We start from the raw sequence: 14,497 nt of genomic DNA on the forward strand, positions 1-14,497 counted from the left end.
CCAGGAGTATGGAATCAAGCATTGGTTATAAACTATTTTAAACAATTTTAATATTAGCGGTTTAATGTGAAAGTATTGATATTTCATTAATTTTTTGTTTTACTTGTGTTAGTAGCGTTACACAAGGAAATTTTGTTATTTCTGTGGTTCACAATAAGTTGACATAACTATAATTATGATTTGTAGCATATAATTAGACATTAGAATTCTAGAAATCCCATACAATTTTGAAATATATATTCGTATTATTCACAAAAATATTACCTAAAGAAGATTGAGCATCATTTTGGCAATCCCATGTACCTAAACATGTCAAATAATCCTGTTTACCTCTCTTTTCTGGACACTTTAAGCACCCTCTGAGGTACTCGAAAAGCCAGGGGCCAAGGAAGACAATTTTGAAACTGAAGTTTGATTTTGGGAATGCTAGATTTCTATGTTATTTATTTTGCCAAAATAATGACTCAGAAACTTTAAAGAACAAAAACCTTTTATAACCATTTGAATTTAGTCAACATGTTCACACAGAGAACCTCTTCTGCAAGATTAATTTCCACAATTTTCCACCACTTCTTTGAACCTTCAGCTTTCCCTATCTAACTTAAAACAACCCTTTATTGCTAGGCAAAAGTTTACATTTCCATGCCTTCTTATAACCTTTTACTAAAAAATAACATTTTACTGTTCTTACACACCTTGCATGTAAATCTAATTGTAGTAGTCTTAATTGCATGTTACAATGGTGAGTCTTAGCAATTTTAACTTTAATGTAAGACTTGGTAAGTTATGTTCTGATAAGGTTTGACTATTTCCAGCATAGCTGGGGCATGGCCAACTCCAAAGGTCCCCAGGCCTTACCTAGATGGAAAGCTGGCAAGTTACACAATTTTCAAAAGCTGAAGAAGCAGCTTATGACCTTGAAGTATTTAGCAAACCTAATACTTGAACATAATTTAGACTACATGTTTACCTTTTGAAGAAAATTTTATTTTACCAATAATTTTGAAAACTGTATTTCCCAAAGATTGCTAAAGTTGTGTGAACTAAAAGGCATTACATTTCCTTTTTTTCTGACAAAGCATTTGATTTAAGCCATTATTATTATTAAACCAATTAATTAAAACTTTGCAGAAGAGATAAACAGTGGCTTTTACTTTATATTTAACCAGTTTGCACAGAGAGAAACAGGCCAGTGACTGACTGGTAAGAAATTCTTACCCTTTTGCCGGCATGCTAGATTCCTGGGTTCTCTCTCCCTGAGCAGCCCTGGCAACCCTGCTGACCCTGCTTTACTGCATGCAAACAAACACATTGCCATGAATTAAGAATATTCATAGATAGTTTACGAATTCTGGAGAAACTAGGCAGAGAGAGAAATATGACTCAAATTCTATTTGTGAGACTACATTCAACACACTTAAAGTATCAGGAAGACTAAAATCCAAAAAATTAGTTTAAGAATAAAAAGCTGGTGTGCTCTATTCATTCCTGCAGGCTTGACAAAGGTTCCTTAGGAATTCCAGATAAATTGAATGAATGATGACTTGCTGGAAATGCATGGGAACACAGAACTAAATAAAAGCCTTCCAATAGGAACTAAAAAAAAAAAAAATGTGGTTTTATATATAGAGATACACAAGCAAAGCCAGAGGAGAATAAACAGCGAATAAACAGCAAATAAACAAAAACTAGAAGCAAAAACGAATAAACAAAAACCAATCCTAAATTTTCATACTCAATTTACCCTGGAAGCTACACTGTTACCTAGGGCCCCCCAAAAAACCACATAATGAATATTTTATTCCTGATACACAATTCAATACCCTTAAGTTCACTAATACCATTATACATTCTGTGCAATCAAGAAATCCATGTTAGGCACATGACCAATAAGTACTTTAGCACTATCCACACAAAACAGTAAACATAGTGTGAAGCAATGCAAGCATGTATGTGAAATTTAGCTTTATGCTAAATTTAGCTTCACGCTTAACTATATTAAAATACAACTGCCAAACTGCTGATGCAATTTTTACAATACTTCTTGTTTTACTTTAACCAAGACTAAGAGCTTTAACTATGAAAATGTTAATTAGCCAAATATCTGCAATTCTGTCAGGTTTTAAAGAATATTTTATTGTATAAGCTTTTTCCACATCTTTCTCCCCTACTTAATCATTCCTTACTACATTGTTTTATAAACAACCTTTTCAAATCTGTAATTTGAACTAACTCTTAGATAACTTTTGAATTGGACAAAATTATTCTTTTTTTTTTTTCACTAATAACATAACCCTTCCTGGCACATTTTTTATACAGAATTATGTGTTAACTAAAATTTTTATCCTTAGTACCCTAAAACTTTAGAGAGACCCTAAAAAGTAAAAAAATCCTGAGCTATTAGATATGGGCATTTGTAGATAAGAATAATTCAAAAATTCTAGAAACGCATTTCCCCATATTGTTACCGGGGGGTCCTTGCTCCCAGAGCTCCCAAGATGGTGGCAGGCTGCTTCCAAAATGGAGGCGGGCCACTTCCAAGATGGTGTCAAGCCTCATGTTTTCTGACTTGGGGTTCTTGGCCTCATGGATTCCAAGGAATGGAATCTTGGGCCATGTGGTGAGTGTTATAGCTCTATTAGAAGCCATGGGTCACGGAAGAGAACCGTTGAACCCAGTGACTAGTGTTCAGCTCGATTAGGATGAACCCAGGCACTTAGCCATGCAGGAACAATGGCAAGCCTCTAGCTCAATTGGGAGTGGCAACGGGCACCTCGCTGGATCAGGAGCACAGTGGACATCCTGCCAGATCTGGAGGGATGGAAGTCAGCGGCGGGTCTGCGATGGTGGCAAACAGCAGTGGTGGACAGTGAGCAAAAGCTCAGCTCAAGCCATAACAAACATGGAAGAAGAGTGCAGTTGCAAGATTTAATAGAGTGAAACTGAGTGAAAACAGAGCTCCCATACAAAGGGAGGGGACCCAAAGAGGGTAGCCGTTGCCGGCTAGATTGCCTGGGTTTATATCTCGATCATTATCCCTCCTGATGTGCTCTCAGGCAACAGATGATTGGCTGTTTCTTTACCTCCTGTTTTTGCCTAATTAGCATTTTAGTGAGCTCTCTTAACTATCTGATTGGTTGGGTGTGAGCTAAGTTGCAAGCCCTGTGTTTAAAGGTAGAAGCAGTCACTTTCCCAGCTAGGCTTAGGGATTCTTAGTCGGCCTAGGAAATCCAGATAGTCCTGTCTTTCAATATTACAACTCTTCTTATTTGGAAATGACCCATATATTAAATAAGCATTAAAAATAACCCTAAGATTTTAATTTACATAAAAAGTTTACCTAAAACGTTTATGTCATTCACTGTACTTAATTTTTACTTTTAACAAGGGAGACATGAGACATCAATCAACATATATAAAACAAACATGGGTTTGGTCCAGAAAGGGAGGACAACTCCAGGTGAAGGGGGTGCTGGGGGTCTTTCAGATCACAGGTGGGAGACAAAGGGTTGCATTCTTTTGAGTTTCTGATTAGCCTTTCCAAAAGAAGCAATCAGATATGCATTTATCTCAGTAAGACTCTGAATAGAATGGGAGGCAGGCTCACCCAGGGCAGCTCCCAGCTTGAATTAACACTATTTTAAAATATCTAGCAAAGACAAACATAAAATTTAGACAAAATGTATGCTAACAATTCCAAAGGCATTTCTGTTTTTATTCCACCAATAATTTTAAAGCTAGTTTGTTTAGTAAAGTTATACTTTAAGTCACATGAACTTGAAAATTGCTTAGACTTATTTACTTAATTTATGAGTGCTCTTTTACTTATAAGCCAATTTGGTAGACATGGCATATAACAATTTAGTGTACATACAAGTAAACACATCTAGACACGTACACACACACACACATAAATGAAGATCCAGTAGCTTGGAACCTTAGCCTGAGACAGCAATACAAGCTTGCCAGTTTTACTTTGCCCCAATAGATAATCCAAGGAAGGCTGTGAAACAAAATTCCAGGTAAAGCAGTTTGATTTTTAAAGGCTAAACCTCCCCAGACTCCAAGGAGCACTAGGGCCAAACAGTACCAAAGAAGGGTGCCAAACGTTAACCAGGCCCACTGCTTGGAAGAGCAGCACAAAAGCCTGTATACATGCAACATCACCCCACTTTCCAATTAGACAGTCAACTTCAGATTCCAAACAATTTTGGGGCCAAGCAGCATTGCAACTGCGAGAAAAAATTCTAAGGAGGTTTTAATACTAGACCTCAGAACCTCTGCCAAGAGCATACTCTTTGGAGAGTTTGAGGTTTGCAGAACCCACAGAGTGTCTTCCTTTGGGGTCCAATCTTAGAGCTCCAGATGTCTCTGGCCTTAGGGGTGCGCGCCACATGCAGGTTTCCCCTCCAAAGCGTACCATGAGATTTTTAAGAACAGCCATGAACTGTAATGAGAACTGGATGTCCTGTGAGCCTTTTGTTCCTTAGCCAGTTGAGTATGGTAAGGTAAGGATTTAGTATATGAAAAGAAGGTTTAAGTTGCCTGAAACACGTGTGAGTTTGCTCAGAGCTGCATCACCATAGGGATTAGGAACCATGCTCAGAAAAGAATTTTTTTAAAAACATCCTTACCCCTTCGGGGCAGAGCAATTATTCCCATTTATTCCCAGGCCTTCAGGCAATACTGGGGAGTAACCCCAGCCAATTGCCCTCAATTTCCAAGGAGAAACTAGGAAAAAGCCACTGTAGGACTGAAAAAGAAAGAGAGGAAAAAAATAAAAATAAAAAAAGACCCAGATTCCCTTAAGCAAAGCGGGCGGTGCCAGTTAGGCTTCTCCACATGAAAACCCCTTAGTTTCATTGGCCACGGCCAGAAACCTGCAGTTGCTTCAGTGTTTAGGTGCTGCCCTCCAAGGGTCCCAAGTTGGAAAGGAAATGAGAGAGAGAGAGAGAGAGAGAGACCCTGAATGAAGCAGAAAGGAAAGGGAGAAAAATGAATCCCAAACTTAGGGCCTACCTCTTCCTCCAGGATGGCTCGCCAAAATATGTTAATGGTGGCGGAGGTGGGGGTCCAGGTTCTTGGCATCCTGAACAAAGAATGGGACAAAACACACAAACAAAGCAACGAATGAATGAAGGGTTTTATTGAAAAAGAAAGTACATTCCACAGTGTGGGAGCGGGCCTGAGCATAGGGGCTCAAGGGCCCTGTTACAGAGCTTTTGTGAGTTTAAATACCCTCTACTTGGGATACGGCTTATCTAAATGAAGAGGATGAAGTAAAGTTACAAAGTCACTTACAGGGTATGCCCTATAGAGAGGACATTTTGTGTTACAGCTGAAGTGTGAATGGGCCTTGTGTTTCCTGCCTCTAGATTCTATTTCCATCCTCAGTGCCATAATTTCACATTTATAATGCCAGGTATTCGTTTGTCGGCTGGTATATGGTTTACCTTTTTTTATTTTATGTATTCATTTACTTATTTAAGAGACAGGGTCTCTTGAGGTTTGCTGAACCCATGGAATGTCCTCCTTTGGGGTCCAATCTTAGAGCTCCAGATGTCTCTGTCACCCAGGCTGAAGTACAGTGGCAATGTTACCAGTGGGTCTTTGTTCTTAGAGCTCCCAAGATGGTGATGGGCCGCTCCCAAGATAGTGGCGGCCACTCCCATGATGGCAGCAAGCCTTTTGTTCTCTGACCTGAGGTTCTTGGCCTCACGGATTCCAAGGAGTGGAACTTTGGGCCATGCGGTGAGTGTTACAGCTCTATTAGAAGCCGTGGGTCACAGAAAAGAACCGCGAAACCCAGCGATTAGTGTTCAGCTCGATTAGGACGAACCCGGGCCCTTAGCTGCGCAGGAACAACCGCAAGCCTCTAGCCTGAACGGGAGCGGCAATGGGCGCCTCCCTAGATCAGAAACGCAGCAGACATCCCGCCAGATCCAGAGGGGTGGAAGTCAACAGCGGGTCTGCAACAATGGCGATCAGCAGTGGTGGACGGCGAGCGATAGCTCAGCTCAGGCTGGAACAAGCAGGGAGCAGAAGAATGTGAAGTTGCAAGATTTAACAGAGTGAAAACAGAGCTTCCATACAATGGGAGGGGACCCAAATGGGTTTGCCCATCTGGCTCAAATGCCTGGGTTTGTATCCCGATCATTGTCCCTCCCCCTGTGCTCTCAGGTGATAGATGATTTCATTATTTCTTTACCTCCTGCTTTTAGCCTAATTGGTATTTTAGTGAGCCCTCTTTACTACCTGATGGGGCGGGTTTGAGCTGAGTTACAAGCCCGGTGTTTAAAGGTGGGTGTGGTCTCCTTCCCCAGCTAGGCTTAGGAATTCTTAGTCAGCCTAGGAAATCCAGCTAGTCCTGTAGTCCAGCTAGTCCTGTCTCTCAGCACGATAGTGGCTCAATGAAGCCTCAACCTCCCAAGCTCAAGTGATCCTCCCATCTCAGCTTCCTGAACAGCTAGGAGTACAGGTGTATGCCACCATACTGGCTAATTTTTTATTTTTTTTAGAGACAGGGTATCTCTGTGTTACCCAGGGTGGTCTCAAACTCCTGGGTTTAAGAGATCCTCCCACCTCAGCCTCCTAAAGTATTCGGTTTACAAGCGTGAGACACTGCATCCAGCCCTTTTACGTTAATACTGAGTTTGTTGTACTCTAATGTGTAATATCATACCTCAAAGCTGTAACTTTGAAAGAATAATGTGTCATTTCTCCCACTGGATTCTCAAGAGTCTCCTCCCCCTTTCTGCCATGGTGATTTAACTCTGGCAGAAAAAAGATATTTATATAAACTGTTTAATTTATTTAAATAATCTGCTTTTACTAGGTTTTAAAATATTCAGTAGCAAAATGGAAGCCTCTAAAGCACTGTACACTTCAAAAATAAAATTCTAACTGTTCTCCACTTTAAAATTCTCTTGGTTTTAATACTACAGTGGGTGTCTAATTCATTCTTCTTTCACCTTTTTTGTGTGTGTCTCTTTAAACTTACTCTTTCCATTTGAGGGGCTTTCTTTTTTTAACGTATGATTTTATTAACAAGATATTATTAGAAAAATGGAGCCCTCTGTTGATTCATTTTTATTCTGTACAATCAGATTTTGCACAGGTTTTTTTAAAATAAAAGATAAAATTCAAAACAACAAAAAATAGGCATTCCTCTATGGTAACATCATGTTACTTCTTAAATGTGTGTCCCCTAAAATAATATGGCATCCTTTTCCAAAATACTAAGCATTGTCAGAGGAACAACCCAGGGACTTACAGGATGGGAGCCATTTTCATTGGAATCTGCAAAGCTAGGGTATCTCAGCCTATTTTTGCTTTGTATTTATTTTTGCTGTAATTTATTAAAGTAGCACATTCTAAGAGACTAATATTAATAAATTAAAAAAACAACAAAGAGTCTTGCCAGATGCTTAACTCTTGAGGTCAAGGTTCAGGGAAGTCTTATTCTTAAGTTAGCTCCTTTGCTTAAAGTAACATAGAGAAAATAGGCACAAAGCAGGGTCAATTCCACTCTAGATAAATCATGATGAAGTAGATTATGCAAGTTCTTAGGATAGCTGTAGACAAAATATACTCTCTTGGAGTATATTTTCATTTTGGAAGTAGCACATGCAATTAGACAAATTTCATAAAATCTTCTATGTGAGTTTCATAGGCTCGTGTAAATGGTTGTTCTTCCCATAAAAGGCTGATGGGGTTAATAGGTTGTGCCCTCAAATCAAATAGTTATATCAGTCTGAAAAGGCCAAGTTATTCTGTCATGATAAACAAAATCCCAAACCTTAGCTGCCTAAGCCAACAAAGCTTTGTTTCTTACTCTATTTGTTATTCACCGTAAATTTTGATTGCAAGTTGGTGGTGGCATTTTTCAGTGTTTCCATTATTCTCACCATGGGACCCAGGCTGTTGGAGGAACTCTAATCTGGAACAATTCCACTTGGTCTGATAAATAGTAAATAGCACTCCAGAGTATGTTATAGAACCAATTAAATTCTCAACTCAGAAGTGACACAGTTCACTTTCTCCTCATAATTCATTGACTAGAATGAATCATGACCACTAGAGTGGTCGTATGGTTTCCCCCAAGTACAGAGGCAGAGGGAGTGAAATGCTACCAGATGACAGAAAAATGTAAATATCTAGTAAACAATAGTATTCATTCCACAATAGGCGAAGGTCTTTGTGTCCCTTATGGCCATTTATTTTGTATAATATGTACAAATCCTTGGTTAACAGCACTTTAGGTGAGAAATTAAGTTCATTCCTTTTTTTTTTTTTTTTGAGATGGAGTCTCACGCTTGTCGGCAGGCTAGAGTGCAATGGTGCCATCTCGGCTCACTGCAACCTCCGCCTCCTGGGTTCAAGCGATTCCCCTGCTTCAGCCTCCCAAGTAGCTGGGATTACAGGGGCCCGCCACCATGCCTGGCTAATTTGGTATTTTTAGTAGAGATGAGGTTTCACCATGTTGGCTAGGTTGGTCTCAAACGTCTGAACTTAGGTGATCTACCCACCTCGGCCTCCCAAAGTGCTGGGATCAGAGGCGTGAGCCACCATGCCTGGCCTCGTTCATCTTTGTGTTTTTATAAAATAATTCTTAACAACAGTGTCTCAAATATTGAAAGAATACATTTGAGTCTTTTCATAGACTCAAATTTTTCTGCCTTGGATAAAGTAATAAAAGTTGTAAGTTCACTTTTTTCTTAGAAAGTCATCCTATTCCCCCACAAAAGTGAACTATGTCAATTGTTGACTTTAGACAGTCAGGTATTTGAAGAATTTCACCTTCAGACACAGGAAAGGAACAATGTGAGCAATATGTGGATACCACTTGACACTGCATTTGAAAAGGAATAAAAGAAGAAGAAAAACCATTTCAGATGTTTTCTGTCTGCTTCTCTATTGGCATTTCTAGCTCCTTAAAAAAAAAAAAACACTGAGCTTTGCAAAGAGGTGAGAAATGCTTGATTTTAATTTTGATGGGATCACATAGAAATTAAATGAAAAGAGAATTACCTTTGTAATGTAAAAGAATTATGTTCTAGCACGATCCAACCAGTTACATGTCCTTAGGTAATTATTTATCCTTTCAGAGCAGAGGTTGGCAAATTATGTCCTGTGAGTCAAATTCAACTTGCTGCTTATTTTTGAATGGTTCTCAAACCAAGATGGATTTTACATTTAATAATAATAATTTTAAAAATCAAAAGTAATAATATTTCATGACCCATGCAAAACATATGAAATTTAAACCTCAGTGAAACACAGCCATGCACCTTCATTCGCATATTGTCTATGACTGTTTTCATGCTACAGTGACAGAGCTGAATAGTTGCAACAGAGGCTATGTCATTGTAAACTCTAAAATATTTACTATCTGGCCTATAGCAGAGTTTTCCATCTCTTGTTTTAGAGTTTTACTTTACTTATCTATGCAATAAGAATGACTTATTTCATAATATTGCAATATTTTGGAAAATTGATTTTTTTCTAATTTCATTTTATGATTTATTCTGGCTCTACTCAAAATTATGATTTAATAACAAATCACAGATGGTTTTTCCTCTGTTTATAAGAATTGAATATCCATTGTGCTTTTTAAGTTTATGATTTAGATAATTAGGCTAAAAAGGGCACCCTATTCCACACATACTTTTATGTGACTTTGCTCTGTTTCCCACTTGGGAGACACTACTGCACCTCTTACTATAACTAAAGCCCATGGAGGAAAAAAAAGAATGAAGATATCCAAGTTTTGTGATTAAAGATGGTAGTTGTCTTGACTGTTTTAATTAAAATTCCTTATTCCTTCCATGTGAAGTACCACACCTGACAACAGTTGTATCGTAGTTTACATTTCTTGGAGGTAAAGAGAGAGGGAAGAACACAAAACCTTACACCTCCTTAGAATAAAAGAATGCAAAAGAATAGGTGTAACAAATCCATAAGTGGGTCATTGTTTGCATTAAGTGTGATAATACAGAGGCCCCATAATCAGGGTTGTACTTGAGCCACAGGTAACGTGTAATACTAAAGGGTCTTATTGCTAGGTAAAGTGGTTAAATCTAATTTCCAAAAATGACAGCCATAAAAACATATTAATCCAGATTTTCAAAAAGACAAGATAATAGATTAAAAATAATGAGAAATAACACATTTTTGGAAGGAAAATTGGCAAAAAAAGTATTTAATAACCTAGAAGCAGAGAGAACATTAAAACTAATGTCTGTAAACTTTCATGCCAACAACAAGTAAACAAAATTGTCTTCTGAATCCTGAAAATTCTTAGGAATTAATGGCACAAGCTACCATATATGGCTAACGTAAGATGTAAAGTTGAAAATGTACTTTTATACACCGGCCTCTTCCCTTTTCCTTGAATGCACCATTTCTCTGCATTTGTAATTCCTTTGTACATAATGCCTTTTCCACAGAAATTCCCATGGTTTCCTTCCTCAATATTTTTCAGGAATTTATCCGATTATTATTGAAAGGATAACAAAATATACAGTCACTTCAATGTATCATCCATAATGTCTTATAACCAATAAAAATTTCTAGACATTCAATAGAACAAGAAAATATAATTCATAATAAAGAAACCAATAAGATGATCAGATATTGGAACTAGTAGACAAAGAAAAAGCAACTATAATAAATATGAGAAGATTAAAAGAAGAGATATTTATAATAAGTATATGGATATAACTATTAGTAGAGAAATTAAAATTATAAAAAAGCAAACAAAATATAACATTTATTATATGGGTTTAATGATTAGTTGCAGACAGCAAAACAGGGAAGTCAGTGTATGTGAAATTATATCAATAGAAATTATCGGATCTGAAGAACTAAAGTGTTGTTATATATACAGAAAACTGAAATGAACAAGAGTTCAGTGACCTCTGAAAAAATATGGGACACATTTAGAGTCCCAGGAGGAGATGAGAGGACATTAAAAAATATTTTAAAATAAAATTGCTGAAACCTTACAAAGTTACCCTGTATCAACTTTTGATTAGGCAACCTCAGCAACAATTTAGCGTCTTAAACCCAGAGAAGACAATGTCTAGACACGCTGTATCTAAACCGCTGAAAAACAAATAAAATAAGAAAATTGTTGAAAGTGGCCAGAAAGAAATGCTACATTACATACAAAGAAATAACTGTACAAAAGATAAGAAACTGGTAGTAAATAATAGCATCATGTCAATGTTGTATTACTAATTGAATAATTATATTGTGGTATATTACAGAATGACTTTGTTCTTAGGAAACACATACTGAAACACATAAACAATACAGTGTAACTTTTAAATGAGTGTGAAAAAATATGTAGGTATACATGCATGGGAATACATTTCTTTTTACTATTATTGCAACTTTGTTATAATATGAAATTTGTAAAAAAGAAAAAGAACAAAAAACAGCAAAAATATAAATGTATAACTACATGTGTATAAAATAAAAAGTAAATTAAAAAATGTAATGCGTAATGGTGGAAACTATGAAAACCTTAGCAGAGTAGGCAGCTTCTTTTGAGCTTGATTGTTGACATAGAGAAATATGTGTTCATGATAGTTAGATCTTTTGATTTTTTTAATAGAGAAACCTGAAATTTACAATTTTATGTGAAATTTCATAATTTTATATTTCAGTACAGTATTCACTGAATACCTGATGCCATGATTGACTGTTCATTAAAATAAACACTTTAATTTGGAAACTTTCTATATTAACATATATCAGTAATTCTTGAATAACAAATGATAATTCTGATATTATTGTTTTGGTTGCATCTCTAAATGTAGCTCACATGCTTAATATTGTCTGTGTATAAGAGATAAGCTAGTAAAAATCATGTCTAAGATTTTCTAAATTCTGTATTGTTTATATATTTTGTATATCTATATCAATTTTTTTGTATTATTTTATAAACATGAGTTTGCAATCTAAAAGTTATCTACATCCCATATTTTTTTCCATTCTTTTCTTAATTTTAAGAGCAGTGAAGGTAGCAAAGATTAGGATGAGGAGGGAAGTGCTAGGGAGTATATCTAGGACTTTGAAGACAGTACCACACAGGCCACAGAAACTGAAGATTGGAACTAAATCATAATAATTTCAGAGACTAAAGAGTCAGATGGAGACAAAATCAGTGTTATACATTGGTTTATAGTCTGGCTTATGGCCCAGAAAATAAGACAATACACAAATAGGGCAAGAAGAAGTCAGTGTGTGCTACTGTCATCATAGTGGTGAGTTAAGGCGATAATCAGGTATTGAAGAAACAAGAAAATTCTGATCAGTTATGGAAACACCTGTTAGTGTGTCCTTGCCTTTGTTTAAAAAGCTGGCATGAAGTGTGGTGTATGGATGAGTCAGCCTGACTTAGAAAGCCAGAGGTAAAACAGATACTCACACTACAGATAACACAGCCAATAAAGTAAGTCAAATCCGTTTACCCATATTAAACTTTAGAAGCTCATCTGATAGCAGTGATGTGATTGATGAATTCCCATTGTACTTTTATATGTAGGGCAGGTGCTGGCTCTGTGCAAGCTGTGACAACTGTGTCTTGTTCTATAATCTTAATAGCCTGATTGATGGTATGACTGTCAACATTATGATGCTGTTTTGTGAACCTTGAGCCTATATTATATCAAATTCAAAATAACTGTATCAGTCTTAATATACTGTAAAGTATGTAGCATCTGTCTTGTCTTTCTTATTAAAATATCTCTTACATCTTTACCTGACCTAAGTCTATACTCAGAACCCCTAAGGCTCTTAGTTCTTGGGACACACAAAGGGTCTGTTTACATTACTAAGTATTGTCCACCTTCAAAAATTGTCTATTCTTCTTTCCCCATTCCTGTATATTATCAAAGTATTTCTCTTTACTACAAACTTAAATATATTCATGTGATTAAAAGTTAAAGTGATTTATCTCTATATTTAACAACCATTCCTCTACTTACCAAATGGTTTAAACATACCAAACTATTGCTTAACAACTAAATATATTCTGAGAAATGCAATGTTAAGTGATTTCATCATCATGAGAGCATTATAGAGTGTAGTGTACTTACACAAATCTAGATGTATAGCCTACTACACACTTAGGCTATATGGTATGGCCTATTGATCCCAGCCTACAAACCTGTACAGCATGTTACTGTGCTGAATATTGTAGGCAATAGTAAGTAACACAATGGTAAGTATTTGTGAAGCTAAACATATCTACACAAAGAAAAAGTACAGGAAAAATACAGTATAAAACAACAAAAAAGGTATACCTATATAGGGCACTTACCATGAATGGAGCTTACAAGACTGAAAGTGGCTCTGGGTGAGTCAGTGTGTGAGTGGTGAGTGAATGTGAAGGCCTAGGACATTACTGTACTCTACTGTAGACTTAGGCTACATTAATTTATTTAAAAATATTTTTTTCCTGGAAATAAATTAACATTAGCTTCCTTTAACTTTTTACTTAATAAACTTTTTATAAACTTTAAATCATTCTACCATAAAGACACATTCACATATATGTTTACTGCAGCACTATTTACAATAGCAAAGACTTGGAACCAACCCAAATGCCCATCAAAGATAGACTGGATAAAGAAAATGTGGCACATACACACCATGGAATACTATGTAGCCATAAAAAACAATGAGTTCATGTCCTTTGCAGAGACGTGGATGAAGCTGGAAACCATCATTCTCAGCAAACTAACACTGGAACAGAAAACCAAACACTGCATGTTCTCACTCATAAGTGGGAGTTGAACAATGAGAATACATGGACACAAGGAGGGGATATCACACACTAGGGCCTGTCGAGGAGTAGAGGGCAAGGAGAGCAAGAGCATTAGGACAAATACCTAATGCATGTGGGGCTAAAAACCTAGATGATGGGTTGATGGATGCAGCAAACCACCCTGGCACATGTATACCAATATAACAAACCTGCACGTTCTGTACATGTATCCCAGAACTTAAATTATACTAGTAAAAAACTGTTTCAACTTTTGGACTCTAGTAATAACATTTAGCTTAAAACACAAATACATTTTCCTTTTTTTCTTTTTGAGACAGAGTCTCACTCCTTCACCCAGGCTAGAGCACAGTAGCACAATCACGGCTCACTGCAGCCTCAACTTGCTGGAGGCTCAGGTGATTCTCCCAGCTTAGCCTCCTGAGTAGCTGGGACTAAAGGTGTGCACCACCCCACCAGGCTGATTTTTTTTGTATTTTTGTATAGATGGGATTTTGTCACGTTGCCCAGGCTGGTCTTGAACTTCTGGGCTCAGGCTATCTACCCACCTCATCCTCCCGAAGTTCTAGGATTAGAGGTGTGAGTCACTGCACTTGGCCTAAGATTTTTCTTCATATCCATAATCTATATGTGGTTTTCTATTTTTGATTTTATTAATTTTTACTTTTTAAAAAAATTTTAAACTTTCTTGTTAAAACTCAG

General features: G+C 36.9%; 1 annotated feature.

The window, feature by feature from the left end:
• Positions 3,280–3,860: an enhancer, noted in NCBI's record as "OCT4-NANOG hESC enhancer chr4:59360022-59360602 (GRCh37/hg19 assembly coordinates)". NCBI's record gives its function as "activates a minimal SCP1, AML or CMV promoter by ChIP-STARR-seq in naive H9 embryonic stem cells {active_cell/tissue: H9 hESC(naive)}" and the evidence as "EXISTENCE:reporter gene assay evidence [ECO:0000049][PMID:30033119]".

This window comes from Homo sapiens, chromosome 4, assembly GCF_000001405.40.
Source record: "Homo sapiens chromosome 4, GRCh38.p14 Primary Assembly".
NCBI classification, from domain to species: Eukaryota; Metazoa; Chordata; class Mammalia; order Primates; family Hominidae; genus Homo; species Homo sapiens.